This window comes from Homo sapiens, chromosome 14, assembly GCF_000001405.40.
Source record: "Homo sapiens chromosome 14, GRCh38.p14 Primary Assembly".
Taxonomy (NCBI): Eukaryota; Metazoa; Chordata; class Mammalia; order Primates; family Hominidae; genus Homo; species Homo sapiens.
The window spans coordinates 63,641,123-63,666,539 of NC_000014.9; the positions used below are offsets into that span (position 1 = coordinate 63,641,123).

The 25,417-nt window shown below is 43.9% G+C and overlaps 1 protein-coding gene, 1 long non-coding RNA gene and 2 pseudogenes across 12 annotated transcripts in view, besides 5 other annotated features; 2 read left to right on the forward strand and 2 right to left on the reverse strand.

Annotated features, from left to right (window-relative positions):
- Positions 1 to 749, reverse strand: part of WDR89 (WD repeat domain 89) — a 44,833-nt gene extending 44,084 nt beyond the window's left edge. For 7 of the 10 annotated variants that reach the window (NM_080666.4, NM_001382424.1, NM_001382427.1 and 4 more), the window contains exon 1: positions 682 to 749. The gene's annotated coding sequence lies outside the window, so the exon portion shown is untranslated. Of the gene's footprint in view, positions 1 to 176 lie in introns of all 10 variants that reach the window. The other 3 variants (NM_001008726.3, NM_001382426.1, NM_001258272.2) reach the window with 3 other exon arrangements.
- Positions 337 to 996: an enhancer, noted in NCBI's record as "NANOG-H3K27ac-H3K4me1 hESC enhancer chr14:64108177-64108836 (GRCh37/hg19 assembly coordinates)". NCBI's record gives its function as "activates a minimal SCP1, AML or CMV promoter by ChIP-STARR-seq in primed H9 embryonic stem cells {active_cell/tissue: H9 hESC(primed)}" and the evidence as "EXISTENCE:reporter gene assay evidence [ECO:0000049][PMID:30033119]".
- Positions 551 to 650: an enhancer, noted in NCBI's record as "active region_8511". NCBI's record gives its function as "activates an Ori minimal core promoter by ATAC-STARR-seq in GM12878 lymphoblastoid cells {active_cell/tissue: GM12878}" and the evidence as "EXISTENCE:reporter gene assay evidence [ECO:0000049][PMID:35858748]".
- Positions 939 to 24,283, forward strand: LOC105370532 (uncharacterized). Of its 2 annotated transcripts, XR_001750790.3 has the most exons (3): positions 939 to 1,075; positions 10,210 to 10,334; positions 23,802 to 24,283. It is a non-coding gene; the product is annotated as an uncharacterized LOC105370532 (long non-coding RNA). The 2 variants fall into 2 exon arrangements; XR_943939.4 differs by lacking the exon at positions 23,802 to 24,283 and having other exon boundaries at positions 10,210 to 10,368.
- Positions 1,061 to 1,330: an enhancer, noted in NCBI's record as "active region_8512". NCBI's record gives its function as "activates an Ori minimal core promoter by ATAC-STARR-seq in GM12878 lymphoblastoid cells {active_cell/tissue: GM12878}" and the evidence as "EXISTENCE:reporter gene assay evidence [ECO:0000049][PMID:35858748]".
- Positions 9,380 to 9,539: an enhancer, noted in NCBI's record as "active region_8513". NCBI's record gives its function as "activates an Ori minimal core promoter by ATAC-STARR-seq in GM12878 lymphoblastoid cells {active_cell/tissue: GM12878}" and the evidence as "EXISTENCE:reporter gene assay evidence [ECO:0000049][PMID:35858748]".
- On the reverse strand, positions 10,174 to 10,377 carry LOC124903437 (uncharacterized; annotated as a pseudogene).
- Positions 17,997 to 18,070, forward strand: LOC124903439 (uncharacterized; annotated as a pseudogene).
- Positions 21,324 to 22,324: an enhancer, noted in NCBI's record as "H3K4me1 hESC enhancer chr14:64129164-64130164 (GRCh37/hg19 assembly coordinates)". NCBI's record gives its function as "activates a minimal SCP1, AML or CMV promoter by ChIP-STARR-seq in primed H9 embryonic stem cells {active_cell/tissue: H9 hESC(primed)}" and the evidence as "EXISTENCE:reporter gene assay evidence [ECO:0000049][PMID:30033119]".
- Positions 24,284 to 25,417: the final 1,134 nt, after the last annotated feature.

A 25,417-nucleotide genomic window follows, 5' to 3' on the forward strand; every position in this document is an offset into this window, starting at 1 on the left:
AAAAAGAAAAACAAAAAAGAAAACAGGAGCAACATTTTACAAATTATACCATCTTTTAATTTTACATCCATGGAAGCTGAATGCCACAATTTGTCAGAGACAAGCTAAAGAAAACACAAGAATGAGTAATGTCTAACACTGCTTCGCGTGAAAATGAGAACACTCACAGTACCTACCTCTTTAGATAGCCATGTGGTTTAAATGATATAATAGACCAGTTGCTGGTATCATACCACATCCCATACTACGGGTCGTCTCTTCCCAAGTGAAAATCTGCTTTCTGGCCTACAAAAGGATTATACTAAACCCTTTTAGTGGTGGGGAGAGTATCCGTGGAGAGGAAAGAGCAGGAGGAAACAGGTCTTTCCCTGAAAATGAGCAAGGGCGTTTGGCTTTTATTGAAAAACGCCCCAGAGGAAGTACTGGGAACTGCACCGGCAACAGCAGCCTGACCCGCAGAAGTTTCTTTGGCCAGGGCCAGCACAGGTTTGACCTGGTGGCTCCGACGGCGGAGCGAGACTGCCAACACGTGCACACTCCGTCCAGACCTCCCACTTCCCTCCGCGCTCCCGCGATAGCTGTCCAGCAACTCTAGCTTTCTAGACTCAACCACGGCGTCGCCGCTCGTCGAGAGGGCTGCCCATCCCGGGGACCCGCCCAGCCTGGCCCAGCAAAATGTACCTTAGTAGCCTCAACCTGTACCGGAGAAAACGCAGGCTGCGCGGCGGCTTAGAGCGGTCAAGTGGAACCCCGCCTCGACCTCTCTGATTGGGTAATGCGCACAAGAAAATCAAGAGGATTGGTCGGCTGCAGAGAGGCGGCCCGTAACGCGACGCGAAAGAAGTGGGGCATAGCGGCCCGGGGAATTCTTGCTAGCTTCCGATTGGACGAAAGCAGAACGCCTGCCCCTTCGTAGACCCAGCGTACGTACAACGCTCACACCACCACGCCGTACGCTGCGTTAGCGGAAGTTTAATGGCCCCATTGGTGGGATGCGTGGCCAATAAAGGGCAAGAATAAGGCGGATTCCGCCTTCCTCGTGGCTGACTGGATGCATCCGCTGGTACTGATTTACGTGAGTTTCAGCATTTAGACGTTCCGAGTTTCCACCGAGCCAGAGTTGGGTAGAGAGTTATTAAGATGACTAGGAGACTAATGCGGGGAGAAATAATTTAGTAGTTAGACTCAGGCCCTGAAACTACCACTCGTGTTCAGAAAGTCTACGTAATACCTTATTGTTTTCACGCGAAGAAACCAGCCCTTCAGGCCGGGCTGAATGTGGTTTAGGGATTCTCTGGCTGTCATTGGGTGAAAAAGCGATCAGTTTGAAGGTAGCTCCGCCTGGGCTCTAGGGAACTCTGGGATTTGTAGTCCGGAACTTTCGAGTCCTGTAGCTTTAAATGTGGTTGTTGCTACTGAGTTCTTTCATGTTGTTAATAACACCCATTGACATTTATTGTGGTTTGTTGGACTTTTTATCCTTTCGTTTATCAGCAGCATTAAAGACAACATTTAAGAAATGTGTAAACACTGCATGTATGTTCGTAAACAATAAATGTTAGTGTTTCCAACAATTTACTGCTGTGCCTAGCTGTATACTATATGTTCATGCTTACTGTACTAAGTAGATACTAAAATTATTTGTTTCTAAAACTTTTGCTGTTACAACAAAACAGTCTGATTTTCATATTAGTGTCCATTTACGATTATTTGAACCCTACATTTAGCAATTATGTGTACTGTGATGGCATAGGTAGCAGCTGCTTACATGAATCAAGTGTTGTTATGACATGAAGCAGAACTGGCTGCTATCTTCACAGGAAAATAGGGCTATGCTTAAAATGTCAAGCAAGACCACCATCAGGAGGAATACACATTGTATATTATTAAAGACTGTATTATAGTGTCTATTTTCAGCCTTTATTAAAACAGTTTTAGGACAGGCTTTTCCTGAGTCTATAGAATCCTGAACTCTTCTGTGAGCTAATTTAGCGGTATTTCATTTTTGTGTCTAGCAAAAGTAAAACCATTAATAAATACCAAAAACTTGCTGAGTAGACTTTTCGCTTTCGAAAAATTTTAATATTTTTTTCCTATTTTACATGTAATACAAACTTTCGACTGTAGAAGAAAAAAACATGATTTCGGATGTATGTAATACTTCTACACTTCTAGATTAAAATTAAGTACACTTTACAGAATTAAAGCTAAGCAAAAACTGCGTTCATTACTGATGCTTGTAATTATTGCATTTTTGTTTAAAATATCGAATTATTTTTGTCATTTTTGTATCTTATTTCTAAATGATTAGAGAAGGTTTCAGGTTGTTTGTAAAGGAAACATTACCGATTTAGCTCTTTGTTTTGTTTTGTTTTGGAGACAGGGTCTCGCTCTGTCATCCAGGCTGGAGTGCACTGGCAGGAGGTGGGATCATGGTTCACTGCAGCCTCGACGTCCTGGGCTCAAGTGAGCCTGCCACCTCAGCCTCCTGAATTGCTGAGACTACTGGCACACGCCACCAAGCCCAGATTTTTTTTTTTTTTTTTTTTTTTTGAGATGGAGTCTCGCTCTGTCGCCCAGGCTGGAGTGCAGTGGCGCGATCTCAGCTCACTACAACCTCCGCCTCCCGGGTTCAAGAGATTCTCCTGCCTCAGCCTCCCAAGTAGCTGGGACTACAGGCACATGCCACCATGCCCGGCTAATCTTTTGTATTTTTAGTAGAGACGGGGTTTCACTGTGTTAGCCAGGATGGTCTCAAACTCCTGAGCTTGTGATCCACCTGCCTCGGCCTCCCAAAGTGCTAGGATTACAGGCGTGAGCCACTGCGCCCGGCCATATTTTTTGTGTAGACAGAGATTCGCTATGTTGCCCAGGCTGGTCTCGAACTCCTGAGTTCAAACGAGGCTCCTGCCTCGGCTTCCCAAAGTGCTGGGATTACAAGCTTATGCTCGTTTTTATTCCCAATAAATGAAGAGCGAAATTGGGTGTAAATCATCGATATATTTATCCTTGTAATATTCTATGTGATGTAGTAGGTGAAACATATGGATGGGTGAAGATGACTCTGGCAAAAATGCAGAATTATATTTTTAATGCTTTTCATTAGCTAGCATTTTAATGGTATTTTCCTTTTGCCTCTTATTTTAAATCAGTAGTTCATTTAACATGTTAATTAAATGTCATATAACTAAGAATAAACACCATTAAAAACTGAATCAAGGCTACTGTGGTTAGCGCTGTTTAGCTGAATGATAGATCAGCTGAGTGACTAAACTGTGGCCACATTTGGCTGATTTAAATTCTAAGTGTTCTCTCAGCACTTTTGGAAGCTTCTAAAATGTTTCATTTGTTTATTTTTGAGACAGAGTCTCCCTCTGTCACCCAGGCTGGAGTGCAGTGGCACAATCTCGGCTTATTGCAACCTCCACCTCCCAGGTTCAAGCAATTCTCATGCTTCAGCCTCCCGAATAGCAGGGATTACAGGCGCGTGCCACCACACCCAGCTAATTTTTTCTATTTTCAGCAGACACTGGGTTTTGCTATGTTGGCCAGGCTGGTCTTGAGCTCCTGGCCTCAAGAGATCCACCTGTCTTGGCCTCCCAAAGTGCTGGGATTACAGGTGTGAACCACTGAGCCGGCCAAAATGTTCTATTTTAAAGAAAAAAATTATTATTTTGAGAATTTAAAAAACATATTTAAACAGGCACCATTACTACCTTTAACAGTGTGAACCTGTGAATCATCTTTGTACTCTGTTGGGAAATAGTTTAAGAAGTGAACTCAGGCTGGGTATGGTAGTGCACACCTGTAATCCCAGCAGTTTGGGAGGCTGAAATGGGAGGATTGCTTCAGCCCAGGAGACAGAGGTTACAATGAATCATCATCTCAACACTGCACTCCAGCCTGGATGACAGAGTGAGACCCTGTCTAAAACAAAACTAAACAAAAAAAAGAACCAAGTAAACTCAAAGTGAGATGAATGAAACGACTCTTGAGATGCAGGAAGAGAATATTAGAACCCTTATTTGTATGTCCTTTTTATTCTCAACATTTTTCTTTACATTTCTGTGTTTTTAAATTTTTTACATATAACAATATAAGCTTTTTTAAAAATCTTTTTTTGTTTGTTTGTTTTTTGTTTTGTTTTGAGACAGAGTTTCGCTGTTGTTGCCAAGGCTGGAGTGCAGTGGTGTGATCTGGCTCACCACAACCTCTGCCTCCCGGATTCAAGCGATTCTCCTGCCTCAGCCTCCCCAGTAGCTGGGATTACAGGCATTCACCACTATGCCTGGCTAATTGTATTTTGAGTAGAGATGGAGTTTCTCTATGTTGGTCAGGCTGGTCTCGAAGTCCCGATCTCAGGTGAGCCACCATGCCTGGCCCTTTTTTTTTTTCTTTAATAGGGGCAGGGTCTCACTATGTTGGCCAGGCTGGTCTCAAACTCCTGGCCTCAAGTGGATCCTTCCACCTCGGCCTCCAAAGAGCCAAGATTACAGACATGAGCCACTAAGCCTGGCCATTTTTGCAATGTATATGTAAAAATATATATGTATTGAGTAAGTGGTAAAATTTTTTTGAGAAATATGTGATCAAAACCATATTTGGAGTTGGGACATGACAACTGCAATTTGAAGATCTTGTGGGGAGAGAAGTCAAAGAAAAAAACACAAATGTTTTAGTTAGTATCTAATATGAAAGAATGGTATTGGCCAGTTAGCTCAGGTGGTTAGAACTGTGAAAAGAAAATAATCTCAGGACCCCAAAATCACTAAGCCAAAAGGAAAAGTCAAGCTGGGAACTGTGTCGGGCAAACCTGCCTCCCATTCTATTCCTCAATGAGATAGCTGCAAGGATAAAACAACTGCTTACCTCCTTCATCACAATTTGCCACAAGGAAATTCCTTGTGGACTTCCTCCCTACTTCAAGTTATTCCACCTTTCCAGACTGAACCAATGTACATTACATATATTAATTGATGTCTCGTCTCCCTAAAATGTATACAACCCAGCTGTGCCCTGAACACCTTGGGCACATGTCCTCAGGACCTCTGGAGGCTGCCGTGGGCACATCCTTGACCTTGGCAAAGTAAACTTCCTAAATTGATGAGGCTTGTCTCAGATACTCTTTGGTTTGCAGAATGTATTGCTGATATGAAGGAAAACTTGAGTTCTTATATCTAAAGTAGAAAAAAAAATAGGCTGAATGCTATTCTTTAATTTGTCACTTAAGAGCTACTTAGAAAAAAAAAAAAAACTTTTTATCTGAAGAATGCAAGCCCTGGCCGGGCATGATGGCTCACGCCTGTAATCCCAGCACTTTGGGAGGCCGAGGTGGGTGGATCATGAGGTCAGCAGTTCGAGACCAGCCTGACCAACATGGTGAAATCCTGTCTGTACTAAAAATACAAAAATTAGCCAGGTGTGGTGGCGGGTGCCTGTATTCCCAGCTACTGGGGAGGCTGAGGCAGGAGAATCGCTTGAACTTGGGAGGCAGAGGTTGCAGTAAGCCAAGACTGTGCCATTGCACTCCAGCCTGGGCAACAGAGTGAGACTCTGTCTCAAAAGAAAAAAAAAAATAAAAACAGAATGCAAGCCCCTTTAAATTATCAGGCCCAGGGAGGCATTTGCAATGTAACAGCATTCTTGTCTCACTCTCTGTTGAACTAAATAATTACTCTTGAAGCCATTTGTTATATAGTCTCTAGACTGACGCCAAGTAGCCATACAATGCCATGCATCCTGTAGTTCAACAGTGTATAGCCAATCACTAGCCAATGTTATTTCTGTAAACCAATGAGAATTCCTAATGAACAAGTTTTTAAATTGTCCCTTCTCCTGATTCATCCTATTTTCTTCAAAAACTTGAGCCTCTCTCTGTTTTGTTCTCTGGAGCACTCAAGGCAACTTGGAAGTGTCCTGAAATGCAATCCTCAAGCTTAGCCCCCTCAAAAGTTACTTTTGCCTCAACTTCTTCCTTTTAGGTTGATACTACCATGAAAAAAAATGTAAAGAAATGGTTTTAAATTGCAGCGTTAAGGGTTTAAGTCATTAAGAAACGATTTACCATTAAAAATTATATACACCCACACATACACTCATATATATTGTTAAAATATGCCATGAAGTCCAAATTATACACAATACTTAAATAAGTAACTAATGAGCTGGGTGCAGTGGTGCACCCTTGTAATCCCAGCTACTTGGGAAGCTGAAGCAAGAGGATCACTTGAGCCCAGAAGTTCAAGACCAGCCTGAGCAATATAGCAAGACCCTCTCTTAAAAAAAAAAAATTGTATGTCATACTACTTGCAAGTTCTCACGCCCAGTCACTGTATCAGGGCTCCATCAGGAAAATAAAATCAATAGGAGACATATATTAAGGGTTTTTTTGGCAAGGAGTTGACATACAGTTGTGGCAGCTCCCTAGGTAAGTGTAAAATCGGCAGAGCAAGCCATCAGGAAAGGCAGGCTGGAACTCAGGCATGAGCTGAAGCTGCAGTCTAAAGCAGAATTTTGGCTGGACGCGGTTGCTCATGCCTGTAATCCCAGCACTTTGGGAGGCTGAGGCAGGAGCATTACTTGATCCCAGGAGTTCAAGGCTGCAGTGAGTTAACGATCACATCACTCCATCCTGGGCAACAGTGAGACTCCATCTCAAAAAAAAAGAGAAGGAACAGCAACTCAGAGCAGCCTAAGCTATGTGAAGTATGCAAAACTTGTTAGGCTTACAGAGACATGACTTTTGAGACCTCAGTCATCCCCCACCCACACCAACCCACACTGTAACTGCCCAGTGGATTCACCTTCCCCACTGCCTAGACAGAGCTGATTTATCAAGACAGGGGAATTGCATGGAGAAAGAGTAATTCACATAGAACCGGCTGTGTGGGAGACAAGTATTATTACTCAAATCAGTATCCTTGAGCTTCATCAGAGTTTTTAAAGACAATTTGACAAGTAGGGACTTGGGAAGGGGGAAGTACTGATTGGTCAGGTTGGGGATGGAATCATAGGGGGTCGAAGTGAGTTTTTCTTGCTGTCTTCTGTTCCTGGGTGGGATGGCAGAACTGGTTGAGCCAGATTACTGATCTGGGTCTGGGTGGTGTCAGCTGATCCACCGAGTGCAGGGTCTGCAAAATATCTCAAGCACTGATCTTAGGTTTTACAAAAGTGATGTTATCTCCAGGAGCAATTTGAGGAGGTTCAGAGGAGCCAGAGGTTGCATGGTTGCATGACCCGTAAACTAATTTCTAATCTCTTTTTTTTGAGACGGAGTTTTGCTCTTGTTGCCCAGGCTGGAGTACAATGGCACGATTTCAGCTCTCCGCAACCTCCGGCTCCCGGGTTCAAGCGATTCTCCTGCCTCGGCCTCCTGAGTAGTTGGGATTACAGGTGCCCACCACCAAGCCCAGCTAATTTTGTATTTTTAGTAGAGAGGGGGTTTGTCCATGTTTGTCAGGCTGGTCTCGAACTCCCAAACTCAGGTGATCCGCCCACCTTGGCCTCCCAAAGTGCTGATATTACAGGTGTGAGCCACCTTGCCCGGCCCTGTAATTTCTAATCTCATAGCTAATTTGTTAGTCCTGCAAAGGCAGACTGGTCCCCAGGCAAGAAGGGGGTCTTTATGGGAAAGGGCTGTTATCAGTTTATCAGTTTATTTTATTTGATTTTTTGAGACAGAGTCTTTCTCTGTCACTCAGGCTAGAGTGCAGTGGTGTGATCTTGGCTCACTGCAATGTCCACCTCCTGGGTTCAGGTGATTCTCCTGCCTCAGCCTCCTGAGCAGCTGGCATTACAGGTGCCTGCCACCATGCCCAGATAATTTTTGTATTTTTAGTAGAGACAGGGTTTCACCATGTTGGCCAGGCTAGTCTTGAACTCCTGACCTCAAATAATCTGCCTGCCTCATCCTTCCAAAGTGCTGGGATTACAGGCGTGAGCCACCGCGCCTGGCCATGTCATCAATTTTGTTTCATAGTCAAACCATGAACTGAATTCCTTCCCAAAGTTAGCTTGGCCTACGCGCAGGAACGAACAAGGACAGCTTAAAGGCTAGAAGCAAGATGGAGTCAATTAGGTCTGATTTATTTCACTGTCATAATTTCCTCAGGTATAATTTCATCAGTTGTAATTTTGCAAAGGCTGTTTCAATACCCAGGGGCAACTGTTTAAAGACATTTTATTCTGTCCGGGTGTGGCGGCTTACGCCTATGATCCCAGCACTCTGGGAGGCAAGGCACATGGATCACTTGAGGCCAGGAGTTCTGAGACCAGCCTGACCAACATGGTAAAACCCCATCTCTACTAAAAATACAAAAATTAGCCGTTCCTGTAATCCCAGCTACTCGGGCGGCTGAGGCAGGAGAATCCGCTTGAACCAAGGAGGCGGAGCTTGCAGTGAGTCAAGATCGCACCACTGCACTCCAGCCTGGGCAACAGAGTGAGGCTCTGTCATCGCGACGCTCTGTCACAGCGATGACAGAGTGAGGCTTGACACAGCGATATATGTATATATACATGTATATATGTATATATATCATATGTACATATGTGTATCATATGTATACATATATATGATAAAGACATTTTATTCTTTCTTTCCCTGTAGTTGCCAGACTAGCTGATAAATTACCTAAAATGTTGTTAAAGTTGCAGAGTAGGAGCCTCACCCATTATCTTCATGTTCCTGGAATTTGTTATACAAGGAACAGTGTATTGCCAATCAATAGCTTATGTTATTTGAATGAACCAATATAAGAACTGCCCCACTTTTTAAAACCCACCTGAATATATGCTGCTAATCAGAGCATATATTCAAGGCAACTTGAATCTGTCTCTCCCAGGTTGCAGTCCTCAAATTCGACCTAAATAAACTCTACTTATATTAATTTTTGCCTCACTTTCTTTAGGTTGACAGTCTTATATTTGTGGGAGTGAGTCAGTATAAGCATACAAGATGTACAAACTAATCCTATTTTCCCCTCTTTTTTTTTGTTTGTTGTTGTGGCAGGGTCTTGCTCCATAGCTCAGTCTGGAATGCAGTGGTCCAATCTTGGCTCAGTATTCCCCCTCTGTTAAAATACATTTAAAAGGAACAGCCCTAACCTCACACTCCATTCCAGCCTGGCTCTCTAACTTTCTGCCTCATTCCACTGGCTAGTCCTTAAGACCCTGACCTAATACTCTCTTTTTGAAGTCTCTGGCTCCAATCTTAAGCACCATATTCTTTTGCCCAAATCTGGAATCCCAGGGCCTCTTGAAGGTTTCCCAATACATGTAAGGCCCACTCCTAGGCATGCATGCCTGCCTCTACTACGTAAGGAGTACTTCTGGAAGCCACCAGCTCTAGAGTTTCTGAAAATGTCAACAAGACTGCCTTTGAAACCAGAGGGTGGGTGGTGGTGAGAACATCCTGTGAAGGGTGCCAGCTGGTTTATACCAGTCAGTGTGCCAAACTGCTCTTCTAAAGATAAGAGGTGGTGCTGTTTTAATTCCTTCAGTTTTAAGATGCACTTTACTATTACCCTTTTTAGTTTAGAAAGAAGAAAGTTGACGAAGAGGCAGGGCTAGCTCTGAAACCGATAATTATGTTAATCAAAAATCCCACCCACCTCCAGAAAACCTTTTCACAGAGCTGCCAAAAGTGGTGAATTGATTGGTTTAAGCAGTATGTTCTCTTCATGCCACTTTCTTTTTTTTCTTTTTTTTTTCTTCCTGCCACTTTCAAGCTAAAAGAGTGAACAAATAGTAAAATAGCTACACTAAATGGAGTTAAGAGGAGAAAAAAGGAAGGCCAGACTATCTGACAAACCAGTGTCTGGGTCTTCTATTTAAGAATTAGAGGCCAGAATTCCAGCACTTTAGGAGGCCAAGGTGGGTGGATCACCTGAGGTCAGGAGTTCAAGGCCAGCCTGGCCAACATGGTAAAAGCCTGTCTCTACTAAAAATACAAAACTTAGCCTGGCATGGTGGCAGGCACCTGTAATCCTAGCTACTTGGGAGGCTGAGGCAGGAGAATCACTTGAACCCTGGAGGCAGAGGTTGCAGTGAGCCAAGATTGCGTCATTGCACTCCAGCCTGGGCAACAAGAGAGAGACTCCGTCTCAAAAAAATAAATAAAAAATAAGAATTAGGACCATACTTTTATTTTATTTTATTATTTTTTAGACAGGAACCACTCAGACTGCATCCTTTCTTACTCTCCTGCAGGAAGAGAATGATCATGAAGGGCAAATGGCAGTGAAGCAAGAAGAGCTGGCTTCAGGCTCAGAAGAGAATGCTGTGCCTCTTCCTCATGGTTTGCGGTGCCCTGCATGTTCAGAGAAACTTCTCTAGTAATGAATGAACTATAGAAATGATCCCTGAAAATATGGTCTTGATACTTTATTTTTGTGGTGGTTTTTTTTGTTTTGTTCTGTTTTTGATGGAATTTTGCTCTTGTTGCCCAGGCTGGAGTGCAATGGCACGATCTCCACTCACTGCAACCTCCACCTCCCGGGTTCAAGCAATTCTCCTGCCTCAGCCTCCCAAGTAGCTGGGATTATAGGCATGTGCCACCATGTCCAGCTAATTTTGTATTTTTAGTAGAGACGGTTTCTCCGTGTTGGTCAGGCTGGTCTAGAACTCCCTACCTCAGGTGATCCACCCGCCTCGGCCTCCCAAAGTGCTGGGATTACAGGGGTGAGCCACTGCGCCAGGTCAGGGCCAAAAGGAGCAGCTTGGGATCCTTATTCTGTGAAAAGAAGTTCACTTCTTTCTTAATTCAGATTTTGTGCTGGGCAAGGTGGGTCACGCCTTTAATCCCAACACTTTGAGAGGCCAAGGTGGGCAGATCACTTGAGGTCAGGAGTTCGAGATCAGCCTGGCCAACATGGTGAAAACCCGTCTCTACTAAAAATACAAAAATTAGCTGGGCATGGTGGTGCACACCTGTAGTCCCAGCCACTCAGGAGGCTGAGGCACAGGAATCCCTTGAACCCAGGAGGCAGAGGTTGCAGTGAGCTGAGATTGTGCCACTGCACCCCAGCCTGGGCGACAGAGCAAGACTCCGTCTCAGACAAAAAAAAAAAAATACAAAAAAAAAAAAAAACAAAGATTTTTAAATACCTATTTGCCAATTCATATGTAGTTGATTTGGAGCATGTACTACAAGATTGGTTCTAAATATATATAAATTAAGAGCTGAGAAAGTTATTGCTAAGCTAAATTCAACCAATTACACTGTTTTTTTCTGCTCTCTCCTTGCACCTATTTTATTCTAATTCTGTTTGTCAGGCTACTTACTTTTATAATCTTTTTTAGTGTGGAAACAGTAGAAAAAAGGTAGAGAAAAATGATATCATGAACACTTGTTTTTAATTTGAAAATTTTTTTTTAAATAGAGACGAGGTCTCACTATGTTGCTCAGGTTGATCTCAAACTCTTGAGCTCAAGCGATCCTCCCTCTTTGGCCACCCAAGGTGGCGGGATTACAGATATGAGCCATCACAGCAGGCCCAAAGCAGATGTTTTAATAAGCACTATTACTCAAAGCTAGATATGTGATTTTGAGCAAGGTATTTTATTTTCCTCTAAACTCCAAATTACTCATCAAGTGACAATGTCTCTTGTTCAGGGGTTTTATGAAAATTAAGTAACAATAAAAGTAAGATAGCACAGTGTAGGCATTCAGGAATTATAAGTTGAAGTTCCAACTCTTCCTCTACCTATACCCCTTACTTTGTGAGATTACAGGAAGGATGACAAAAAAGGATATGTTGGGTTTTTTTTTGTTTTTTGTTTTTTGTTTTGAGACAGAGTTTCACTCTTGTTGCCCAGGCTGGAGTACAATGGTGTGATCTCAGCTCACTGCACCCTCCACCTCCCAGGTTCAAGTGATTCTCCTGTCTCAGCCTCCCGAGTAGCTGGGATTACAGGTGCATGCCACCACACACAGCTAATTTTTGTATTTTTAGTAGAGTTTCATCATATTGGTCAGACTGGTCTCGAACTCCTGACCTCAGGTGATTCACCTGCCTCAGCCTCCCAAAGTGCTGGGATTACAGGAATGAGCCACCACGCCTGGCCTTTGTTGTTTTTTTGAGACAGAGTCTCCCTTTGTTGCCCAGGCTGGATGGAGTGCAGTGGCACGATCTCGGCTCCCTGCAACCTCCGCCTCCCAGGTTCAAGTGATTCTCCTACCTCAGCCTCCTGAGTAGCTGGCATTACAGGTGCGCTATCACACCCAGCTCATTTTTGTATTTTTAGTAGAGACGAGGTTTCGCCATGTTGGCCAGGCTGGTCTCATACTCCTGACCTCAAGTGATCCACCCACCTCGGCCTCCCAAAGTGCTGGGATTACAGGTGTGAGTCACCGCGCCCAGCCCCAAAAAGGATATGTTTGCTGAGCCCTTTAATTGTTGAAAATGAACCTTGAAAAAAAGAAAAATTAATGATAGGACTAGGAATGTACACCATCCAGGAGGTAGAATTAAGAAAGTTTAAATGCAATATGTGAAAACTATACGCAGGCTGGGCGCAGTGGCTCACGCCTGTAATCATAACACTTAGGGAGGCCGAGGCTGATGGATCACTTGAGCTCAGGAGTTTGAGACCAGCCCGAGCAACATAGTGAAACCCCATCTCTACAAAAAAAATACAAAAATTAGCAGGGCATGGTGGCTTATGCCTTTACTCCCAGCTACTTGGGGGATGAGGCAGGAGGATTGCTTGAGCCCAGGAGGCGGAGGTTGCAGTGAGCCCAGATCTCTCCACTGCACTCCAGTCTGGGCGACAGAGTCAGATCCTGTCTCAAAACAAAAAAGAAGAAAATTATAGGCAAAGAAATGTAGATTTCTTTTATTTAATATTTAAAAGAGAGTTGTTGTGAAGTTGATATGAATTTATGTGAAATAAGACTACCAAGGCTGGGCGCTTGGCTCATGCCTGTAATCCCAGCACTTTGGGAGGCCAAGGTGGGAGGATCACCTGTGGTCAGGGGTTCGAGACTAGCCTGGCCAACATGGCGAAACCTTGTCTCTACTAAAAATACAAAAATTAACTGGGTGTGGTAGCGCACCTGTAATGCCAGCTACTCAGGAGGCTGAGGCAGAAGAATCGCTTGAAACTGGGCAGTGGAGGTTGCAGTGAACTGAGATTGCACCACTGCACTCCAGCCTGGGCAACAGAGCAAAACTCCATCTCAAAAAAAAAAAAAAAAAAAAAAGACTACCAGACTGATGTGGTATTTTTAGGATTTTTTTTTCTTTTTTTTTTTTTTTTGAGATGGCCCGACCTCTTCTTTTTTATCATATGATCTCTAACTGATGTATGTGACACAATAATACAAAACTATTTGAGCTATAAAAGAAATATGAAAGGCTTCTGTTTTCTTTTGTAGGCCTTCTGGAACTTTTGCCTCAGACTCAAATACCAATGACTCCTAATCATACCAATATCCCTACTCATTGCCTACTTATTTCTGGATTTACATATTATTTGACTCTCTCATCTCATATCCTAGAGAAGTATTTAGTAAGAGTTGGATCTGGCCAGGTAGGGTGGCTAACGCCTGTAATCCTAGCACTTTGGGAGGCTGAGGTGGGTGGATCACCTAAGGACAGGAGTTGGAGAGCAGCCTGGCCAACATGGTGTAACCCCATCTCTACTAAAAATACAAAGATTAGCTGGGTGTGGTGGTGGGCACCTGTAATCCCAGCTACTTGGGAGGCTGAGGCAGGACAATTGCTTGAACCCTGGGGGCGGAGTTTGCAGTGAGCCAAGATCGTGCCACTGCACTCCAGCCTGGGCGACAGAGTGAGACTCCGTCACAAAAAAAAAAAAAAAAAAAAAAAAAGTTGGATTTAATTTTCTAAGCATTAGGTTAAAATTTTTTTGCTAGATAACATGGTGTCCTAAGATAAGCCAAGCATTATAAAGATGGCTCTGATGATTGCCAGGAACGTATTATGTATGCAGTAATAATAACACATTGCAACAAAGCCATGTTTTCTCCCATTTTTAAAAACATGTTTTGATGATGAAGGATATAAAATACAGAGTCACAGTGAAAGCCTGCAGCTTGAGTACGTTTGTAATCAGATGATTACAGATGATTGCTATGAGGCTAATGAAGTGAAATTTACTCCTAGGTTTGAGAGTAGATCATAAAAGGAACATTAAGGAGATTATAGTCTCAATCATGAACATATTCACCTAATTAACATTTTCCTACCTTTGAATTTAAATATCAAAAGTAGATACGTGATAGTTGTTGATTTGTAATACAAAATTTACTACTTTTGATAGTCATTTCTCACTTAAGCTTGTAGCATGTAATAATTTTTTTTCCCACAAATCTTTTCCTACATTAAAAAAATATACATAAAAAACTTGGCTGGGCGTGGTGGCTCTCGCCTGTAATCCCAGCACTTTGGGAGGCCGAGGTGGGCAGATCACTTGAGGTCATGAGTTCGAGACTGGCCTGGCCAACATGGCTAAACCCCATCTCTACTAAAAATACAAAAATTAGCCAGGCGTGGTGCCACATGCCTGTAGTACTAGCTACTCAGAAGGCTGAGGCAGGCTGAGAAGGCTGAGGCAGGCTGCAGTGAGCCAAGATCGTGCCACTGCACTCCAGCCTAGGCAACAGGGCGAGACTCCGTCTTAAGGAAAAAAACAAAAAACTTATTTGGGTTGGGCACAGTGGCTCACGCCTATAATCCCAGCACGTTGGGAGGCCATGGTGGGTGGATCACTTGAGGTCAGGAGTTTGAGACCATCCTGGGCAAAATGGTGAAACCCAGTCTCAACAAAAAATACAAAAAACTAGCTAGGTGTGGTGGCGCTTGCCTGTAGTCCCAGCTACTGGGGAAGCTGAGGCATGATCACTTGAGCCTAGGAGGCAGAAGCTGCAGTGAGCAGAGATTGCAGGATTACACCACTGCACTCCAGCCTGGGCAACAGAGTGAAACTCTGTCTCTAAAACAAACAAACAAACAAAAAAACCTTATTTGACTACTTCTTGAAGCAAAATGCGCAGTGAAAAGAAAACTGTTTCTTTCAAAAAACAAAATCATAAATATATACCTAGTATAAGCGGGATAAATTATACCCTTTGTCCTCAGCCCCTGCGAGAATGCTCAGGGCAGAAGATAAATCTCCCTCTTTCCCCATACAGATGCCTTAACTACCTATTTGATCAGCTAAGATAAGGAAAAGCAAGGATTTCAAAGCCTTGCTGGGTCCTTGAGTATTAGATGATAGCCCTGCAGGTAGAAGACTCTGTAACATGAAACTATCATTATGGTTCTCATTCCTTATGTGCAAGTAGGCCTCTGGGCGTGATTAGGAAATTGGAGGATAAAAAATGAGGAACAGAAACCACTCTGCACAAATAACATAAAGTACTACATTACATGGAATGTGTTTTATTTAGAAAAATATTTCTCTTTAACGTGATTCACTCAAGAGATGTTATTCATCACCTATTATGCGCCAGGTATATTCTGAGTCCTGGAGAGACAACATTTAACAAAGTCCCTGTCCTCATGTAGTTTATTTTCTCGTGGGCAAACAGACAATATCTATTATTTTTATTAAAAACAATGTAAGGTAATTTCAGCCAATGATAAGTATGCTGCCGGGTGAGATATTCAAAATATTTAACACAGGTATGGCCAGCTTGGTGTCACATCTTCATGTTCTCTCTTGTATTTGCTGTCTCCCTTCCTGCCTCACTTCCCTTTCCTGCTCACTCCAACTTCCTTGACATTGAACTTCCCAAAAAAGTGTTAGTATATAAGCTTTAGTTTGTGATTGTGTTCCCATATACTCCCCATCTTACCCCCACATCACCCCCAATTAGAACATAGGCCAACCTTAGCCTTCTTGTGACAAGTGTTATACTTTTAGTTGCTGGATCTTGGGAAGGTCTAGGAGATGCTGGGATAGCAAGATCAGGGGATGTCTTGGGAAACACCACACCATCCTCTAATTCTCCTCCATCCCAGTTCTCTTTCAGTCCCTTTGATTCTCCTGAATGTAAGTGTCCCAAAGTCCACAAAAACTTCTGTGTTCCCTCTTTTAGTGGCTTCACCATCCCAGTCAACCACACTAAAAGACTTAACATCACTTTTGACGCTCAACCTAATCCTCTGCGCTTAGTCACACATTCATAGCACTGTGTGGGGAAGAAAAAGCGTTTTCATGCACTCTTGCTCTCCCTCTGGATAACACCCTAATTCAGCCTGTCATGATTTATTTGGATTTTGCAATAGCTTGAAACCAACTTTGCATGCCTCCATTTTCCACCTCTTCCAGCCCTTTGTATTAATAGCACCAATGTTTTAGTGCCTTAAAATATCCGGCGGATCACTTGATGTCAGGAGTTCAAGACCAGCCTGGCTAACATGGTAAAACCCCGCCTCTACTAAAAATAAAAAAATTAGCTGAGTGTGGTGGCGTGCGCCTGTAGTCCAAGTTACTCAGGAAGCTGAGGCAGGAGAATCGCTTGAACCCGGGAGGCGGAGGTTGCAGTGAGCCGAGATCACGCTAGTGCACTCCAGCCTGGATAACAAAAGTAAGAAGACTCTGTCTCAAAAAATAAATAAATAAATAATAAATAAATAAAAAGACAAAATCCTTAACTCTCCTACAATGAACTTTTGGTTTAAATAGTGGAGTACCATAAGAGCTTCTCACTTCTTTCTCCCATTTTATTTTTTCTTTTCTTTTCTTTTCTTTTTAGATGGAGTCTCACTCAATCACCCAGGCTGGAGTGCAGGGGCATGATCTTGGCTCGCTGCAGCCTCCCTCTCGGATTCAAGCAATTCTTTCACCTCAGCCTCCCGAGTAGTAGAAATAGGGTTTCACTGTGTTGGCCAGGCTGGTCTCGAACTCCTGACCTCAAGTGATCTGCCCAACTCAGCCTCCCAAAGTGCTGGGATTACAGGTGTAAGCCACTGTACCCGGCTTTTCTCCCATTTTCTTATTTATGTATTTATTTTAAATTATTTTTCATTTTTGTGAGATGGAGTCTCGCTCTTTCGCCAGGCTGGAGTGTAGTGGCGCGATCTCAGCTCACTGCAGCCTCCGCCTCCCGGGTTCAAGCAATTCTTCTGCCTCAGCCTCCTGAGTGGCTGGGACTACAGGCAAGTACCACCAGGCACAGCTAATTTTTGTATTTTTAGTAGAGATGCGGTTTTACCATGTTGGCCAGGATGGTCCCGATCTCTTGACCTCGTGATCTGCCTGCCTCGGCCTCCCAAAGTGCTGGGATTACAGGTGTGAGCCATCGCACCCAGCCTTTATTTATTTATTTATTTATTTTTGAGATGGAGTCTCATTCTGTCGCCCAGGCTGGAGTATAATGGTGCAATCTTGGTTCACTGCAACCTCTGCTTCCCAGGTTCAAGCGATTCTCCTGCCTCAGTCTTCTGAGTAGCTGGGATTACAGGTGTCCACCACTATGCCCAGCTAATTTTTGTACTTTTAGTAGAGACAGGATTTCATCATGTTGGCCAGGCTGGTCTCAAACTCCTGACCTTGTGATCTGCCCACCTGGGCTTCCCAAAGTGCTGAGAACACAGGTGTGAGCCACTGCACCCGGCCTTTTCTCCCATTTTCTAAGGTGACCATAAAAAATTTTCTTTTCTTTTTTCTTTTGAGACAGGGTCTTGCTGTGTTGCCCAGGCTGGAGTTCAGTGGCGCAATCTGGGCTCACTGCACACTCCACCTTTGGGGCTCAAGCGATCCTCCCACCTTACCTCTCAAGTAGCTGGGACTACAGGTATGCAACACCACGCCCAGCTATTTTTTCGTATTTTTAGTAGAGGCGGGGTTTCACCATGTTGGCCAGGCTGGTCTCAATCTCCTGACCTCGTGATCCGCCTGCCTTGGCCTCCCAAAGTGCTGGGATTACAGGCGTGAGCCACTGCACCCAGCCTGTATTATGTCTTTTTAAAAATTTAAACATGTATTACCTTGGGAAAAAATTAATATTAATAAGAAGAAACCTTTAGACTGTACTTTCAGGGATCATTTCTGTAATTCGTTACTAGAGAAATTTCTCTGAATGTGTAGAGCAGTTAATTTTTTTTATTATTTTAAATAAAATTAAAAAAAAAAAAACTGGCCAGGTGCAGTGGCTCATGCCTGTAATCCCAGCACTTTGGGAGGCCAAGGCAGGCAGATCACGAGGTCAAGAGATCAAGACCATCCTGGCCAACATGGTGAAACCCCGTCTCTACTAAAAATACAAAAATTAACTGGGCGTGGTGGCTCAGGCCTGTAGTCCCAGCTACTCGGGAGGCTGAAGCAGGAGAATCACCTGAACCCGGGAGGTAGAGGTTGCAGTGAGCCGAGATTGCACCACTGCACTCCAGCCTGGTGACAGAGCGAGACTCCATCTCAAAAAAAAAAAAAAGAAACTTTCTAGCTTCCCTGTTCCCTTTTGCCTACATGACAAGGCTTAAATCGCCACATCGCGCTCTTTTAAATAGGGCCTCAGCCTGCCTTCTGAGCTCATCTGACAGCCTTCTCCCCAGCTTCGCCCATGCCAGTCACACATTTCTTTAAGGAAATATATTGAGCACCTACGGTATGCTAGTGGGTATAGAAACATGAATAAGACATCCTTAGTTCCTCAATGAATTATCTAATGGCAGAAACAGATGCATAAAAAGTAAATACACTTCAGGGGATTCGATGCTGAAATAAAAGCAAAGACAATGGCCTCTTCTATGGAAAGGCAAAAAGCAACACTTTGCCCCAGTTTGTCTGTCATTTCTGGCTCCATGCCCTTGATAATGCTGGTTTGTTTGGTTGAGGTTTTGTGTGTGGGTGGCTGTACAGAAGGACAACATGACATTTTCTCTTACCAGTCCTGCCCTCTCCCGCCCGCAAGAAACAAAGGCTTTTTCTTCCTTGCTCACCAATCAGTTTGTCCATTATGCTGTGATTCTATTTCAGTCAGGATGCGTTATAAGACAGTAATTAAGAAGGCCAGGCCAGGCACAGTGGCTTACGCCTGTAATCCCAGCACTCTGGGAGACTGAGATGGGTGGATCACCTGAGGTCAGGAGTTCGAGACCAACCTGGCCAACATGGTGAAACCCCGTCTCTACTAAGAATACAAAAATTAGCTGGCCGTGGTGGTGGGTGCCTATAATCCCAGCTAGTTGGGAGGCTGAGGCAGGAGAATTGCTTGAACCCGGGAGGTGGAGATTGCAGTGAGCCGAGATTGTGCCACTGCACTCCAGCCTAGGCAATACAGTGAGACTCTGTCTCAAAAAAAAAAAAAAAAAAAAAAAGGTAATTCAAGAATATTTAATGGAGACTTTGGGACCTGAACGGGGGTTAAAGGATGGATAACAGCCAGATGGCAGGAGTGGCCAGTGCAAAAAATTTATCTCTGGGAAAGAGCACATGCATGGGGACTAGTGAAGCAGTCAGCCTGGCTGCAGAGAAGGTGTTGCTAGTTAATGGGAGATAAGGTTGGTACATGGGATAAAGTTATGGGCATGAACACAGGCACAGGTGTTTATATCTGAAGTAAACAGGGACTCTGTAGGCTCTTGAGCAAAAATAACATGATAAAATCAATACTTGAACATTAGTGTGAAAGTTAGCAGGATGCAAAATGAATTCCTGGTGTGCCTCCTTCCCAAACTCTCCACACTGGATTAGCCCCCACACTTGGCATGGAGCTAAATGAAGACTATCCCTCGAAGTTTTAGCAACGAAAGGGAAAAAAGAGTCAATGGCTGCCTATAAAGAGCAGCAGGGTTAAACAAAGATAAATTTGAAAAGAAGAGCAGATTTGGAAGAAAACAGCAATATTCAGTTTTTAATTCACCAAATATTTACTGAGCCTTTAGTACATGCAAAACACTGCTAAGTACTGTGCCGAATATACAGTTCCTCTTTTCAAGGAGAGAGTAATACAGGTACACAGCTCCCTATCATGGAATGCAAGAATGCTGGGAGAATAGGAATGAAGAAGAGAGTATTCTAGACAAGTGGCTCTCAAACTTTTTGGTCTCAGGACCCCTCAATACTCTTAAAAATTATTGAAGGCCTCAAAGAGCTTTTGTTTATGTGGGTTTTGTCTATCTATCAATATTTTCAATATTAGAAATTAAAACAAAAATCTGGCCGGGCGCGGTGGCTCATGCCTGTAATCCCAGCACTTTGGGAGGCCAAGGCAGGCAGATCATGAGGTCAAGAGATCGAGACTATCCTGGCCAACATGGTGAAACCCTGTTTCTACTAAAAATACAAAAATTAGCCGGGCATGGTGGCACGCGCCTATGGTCCCAGCTACTTGGGAGGCTGAGGCAGGAGAATCGCTTGAACCCATGAGGTGGAGGTTGCAGTGAGCCGAGATTGAGCCACTGCACTCCAGCCTGAGCAACAGACCAAGACTCTGACTCAAAAAAAAAAAAAAACCCAAAGTCTAAAAAGATGTATTTACCCATTTTTGAGTAGCGATATTAAACCCATTACATGTTATCATAAACATTTTAAGAAAAATATATTTTCTAAAACAAAGAAAAATAGGTACAACAAAGAGTTATTCTGTTTAATGTATTTGCAGATCTCCTTACTGTCTGGCATATAGAAGAAACCTGGATTCTCATATCTGACTCTGCCTTCAAACTATTGTGATTTTTTTTTTAAGTATTTGAAGCAAACCTGTCCTCATACAGACATGGAGTAGGAAAAGGGAGGAATTTTCAGACCCCTTGAAAGAGTATTAGGGACCCCCAGGAGTCTTTGGTTCACATTTTGAGAACCCCTTTTTTAAACTATAATTAGTTATATAATCCTCCAGTAGGATTTATTTGTCAAAAAAACTCCCTGCATTCCCAACACTAATGAGAGCTAATAGAATGGGAATGACACTTGTCAGTTTTTTTGTTTGTTTTTTTGCCCAGGCTGGAGTGCAATGGCGCGATCTCGGCTCAAGAGATTCTCCTGCCTCAGCCTCACGAGTAGCTGAGATTACAGGCGCATGCCATCACACCCGGCTAATTTTTGTATTTTTTGTAGAGATGGAGTTTCACCGTGTTGCCCAGGCTAGTCTCAAACTCCTGAGCTCAAGTGATCTACCTGCCTCGATCTCCCAAAATGCTGGGATTACAGGTGTGAACCACCGCGCCTGGCCTAAATTGTTTTTTTGTAATCTAAAAAGAGGAAACTAAATTTTACTAATTGTTGTGCCAAACCCCTATTAACCTCTGTAAGGAAGGCACCAGGTTCAAGAGGCCAAAGGAGAGACCCAGAACCAGCAAATAAGACCTGGGGTTTTATTAGGGGATTACATACATGGAAGAGAATCCAGTGGCAGCAGGCTGGAAAGGGGAATTGCCTTAATTAGAGAAATGGTCCAGTGGCAGTGGGATGGACAAGATATCTGTCTTACCTACAATCCAATGGTGGCAGGTTGGACAACATGACCCCCTGCCTATAGTCCGGGGCTGGTGCACTGGACATCACAGCCACATGGCCCAGTGACGACTGGCTGCGCAGAAAAACCACAATCATTTGCAAATAGTATGCAATTAATATAGCATTTTCACCTAACACCCTCCCTCTAACAACCTCCACTTGGCAAGCTGCATCCAACCCAAAACTCAGGGCCTAAATCCCCTGTATGGCCCCTGGTCCACTGTGTTATGGGATCCTTGGGGGTGTTGCTTTTCCAGCCGGAAACCTCTGTGGCCAGTGGCGCCTTTGCCTGAGTTTTGCTCAGGCCCATTGGGCCGAATCAGCCTGTCAGGCTGTGCTCAGCTCATGCTACCTGCCAAGATCCCACACCTTCTGAGATGAGTGGAGTGGAGTGGTGACAGGTGTGTGAGCAAGTGAGCACGGGGTCCAGCCACTGCAAACAGCCAGGCACATCGGCTGCAGTAGGGCAGGCAGCTCCAGGCACCACCACGGGCACTGGCTCCCTGCGAAGCTGCAGCTGAACCAGGTGTACCACAAGTAGCTTCCACAGCTGGCACTGGGGAACGTGGTGCTGCCCAGAAGCTTGGAGATGCCAGGAAATGCAGTGTCAAAGAGTATGTCACAGCCTTGGCTTGGGGAGCTTCTAGGTCTGAGCTCATCAAAGGGCCACAGCTCTTCTCTCCTTGTCTCCTGCAATGTGGCAAGCAAGGGGTGTGTTTCAGCCCTGTTTGTGTTACAGCTCTTTTAGACCCGCCATGCGGCAGGTCCTGAGTTCTCGTCCTGTGTCCAGAAAGAATGAGGTACGTGGACAAGTGGAGGGTGAGCAAGGCGAAGAAGAGCTTTACTGAGCAACAGAACAGCTCAGAGACCCACAGTGGGTAGCTCCTCTTTGAAGGGAGGGTGTCCCATCAAGTGTTCGGCTCTCAGCAGAGAGGAGACCCTGGGGTGGGTAGCTCCTCTCCATAGCTGGTCATCCTGTCATCTCCCTGAGTCTGGCTGAGTCAGGTTTTTATCAGCAAGGAAGTGCTTGCTGATTGGTCCACAGGCAGCCATGGGCGGGCCCAGAAAAAAGCACAAATTCCCACTCTGGTCTGCAGGGCTGGCAGCCTGGTCCCCAGGCTTCACGCCTTCCCCAGCTTGAAGGCGGGGCTTCACCAGGGACCTTCCCCTTTCCACCCAGGAGCCTGCCTGCCTCCTGCCACTGTTCATGGTGCCCAGGCTGCTCTTGCAGAGTGGTGCCTGCAGCCCAGCACTGAGCTGCCCTCAGACCCCACTCAGCCTCCCTCCCATGCTTGTTTGTGCCCAAAGCCCGGAGAGGGTCAAGGCGGCAGGGGGCTGGCATGTCAGCACTGCCCCAAGAATGAGCACACCTGGCTGGATTGCAACAGCACCTTGGCTTGGCCTCAACTTTGCACCAAGATCTGATTGGGCTCCAGGAGTAAGGAGAGGCTAGGCAGCGGGAGCAGGCATTTCCGACCCTGCAGCTGCAGCTTGGGCGGCTGCAGGTGCATCCAGGAGGGTGGGGATCCTGCCTGCTCCATGGAATACACAGCCCCAGCCGCGCCTCCCGGCTGCAGCCAGCATTGTCAGAGAGGCTGCTCCAGATGGGCTGCCACTGCCATGAACAGGGCAGGACAGGGGTTCAGATGTTCATCATTGATAAGGAAAAAATGTCCAGGTTGGCCACTCCCAGATTCCCTAGCTTAGAACACACATTCAGATGCATCTGCCATACAGGGTCATTCTCAGGGTAGGCTTCACTTATTGCTCTCAGGTGTGTTTATGCTACACTAAGATTAGTGTGTAGGTTGACATTTGCATCTTCACCAGTCTGAAGGCCTGATGGTCACATCAGGTAGGGAGTATCAGGGACAAGAGCATGAATTCCCTAAGTGTCACTCTCACTTGTTTGTTCATTTTCAGCTGACACATTGTACAATGGTTAAGTAAAAGATTTCCCAATTATAATATTTAGCCTTAAGTAACTTCAAAAAATGGGTGTTGGTTCCCTGCCCAGATTCTACTTACTGGTCATGGTCCCCATTCCCTACATGCTGTGACTCTTGGCTGCTACCAGTTCATACCTGTATCTTTCTGTGAAGAACTGACCATAAATGATGGATGCTACCTAATCAGGAACATCACACTCTGCCACCACCCTCCTGCACTAACTCCAGGCGGCCCATAGCCCACGACTGAATAATACAGGAATACTAAAGCTTGCTTCCTTGCCTCAAGAAGAGACAAGTCCATGGTGCCATCCACACTCCAGAGCTGCTCATGGGATCAAAATGAAGATAGATTTCAACTGAACCCATGTCTTTGCCTAGCTTCTTCCTCTGTCCTATTCTGTTTCTCTCACTCCCTTACAGGTTTCAGCTGACATCACTCTCTCAAAAGAATCGCTGGCACAGGAATCTTCATCTCAAGTTCTGCTTCTTGAGAACATAGCCTGAAACAAGCGTATGATTTTAAAACAATCATGCAAAGAGGACAAGGATTGAAAAGATCAATAATGAAGATAAAAGCAACAACAACAAAATGGCAGAACTAGTTCTTTTCCTACTTCTGGTATAATTTCTTCTTAGCCAAAATATGTGATAAAAATGACAGTTTAATAAAACCTAACAAGATGTCAGTTAAAAGAGAACTACAAAGAGGACTATTTGAAAAAAAAATTCTATCCACTTTCTTTTTTTTTTTTTTTCGAAATGGAGTCTTGCTCTGTCACCCGGCCTGGGCAACAGAGTGAGACCTTGTCTCAAGAAAATTTTTAAAAAGGCAGTATCTTCTGATATTAAGGAAGATGGGTATTTCTAGTGGAATTTCAATAAAAATTTTTCTATAAATAGGGTATAGGACTAAAAAATGAGTATCCTGATTTTTTACTACTTCTTTGAATCTTGGCATCTTTTTCAATTATGTTTCTCATCTATGATAGATATTAAAACCAATAATTAAGATAAATTGAATGTAAACCCATACCTCCTCAGCAGATCTGTAGAACTTATGTAAAAAAATAAAAATACAAAATAAATAAAACCAGACCTTCAAGCATCTTTATTTCCATGATATTAAACCAAGATTAAAAAAAAAAAATCTAACGGTGGCCGGCACAGTGGCTCACACCTGAAATCTCAGTGCTTGGGAGGTTGAGGCAGGAGGGTCACTTGAGGCCATTGGAGTTCAAGGTTGCAGTGAGCTATGATAATGCCACTGCATTCCAGCCTGGGTGACAGAGTGAGACATTGTTTCTTAAGTAAATAACTTTAATGATTACTATTTATAATTGTAGCAAAATATTTAAAAGTTATTAATAAATAAAGTAGTTGGAGTCTCCCTTACTTGCTGACTATAATAGAGAGTCAAAAGAGAAATGCCACATTGAGCCTTGGCCTTTCACATATTAATTCCACTCAAAACAGAAAGATGACTTAGTGGATGTCATATTCTCACCATTTTACCAAACACGTAAGTCATCAGGATCTATATCCTACAGCAAAAAAAAAATAAAAAAAATAAAAAATCAATAAAAACAGGTAAATCACTCTTGTACTCACAGAGGTGGGGAGAAGACAGCAGCTTCCCCCTTCAAACTTCCAAGAGGGCAGAAGTTTTGACAGATATTCCTAACTTACTAGCTGAAGCAAAAATGTACGAGAAAGAGAATGGGTTCCCTCAAAAACAAGAAAATCCCAAAGGTAGCTGGTTACATATATAATATACAAAAATCAATAGCTTTCCCATAAATAAAAAAAAGGTTAAAAATAAAATGAATACAAGAGCTCTTATATTATTACAAGAAGAAAGATTATATACCCAGGGACAAACCAAAGAAATGTGCAGAGCCTGTATGGAGCCAAATGGAGGCTATTTAAGATGACTTCAGTGTATTTTCCCAGAGTCAGCTCAGTTCTTACTTCAGGGAAGACTGCCCAGACACACCCCACCCCGCCAATTAGATAAAATCACTTATTATAAGCTCACT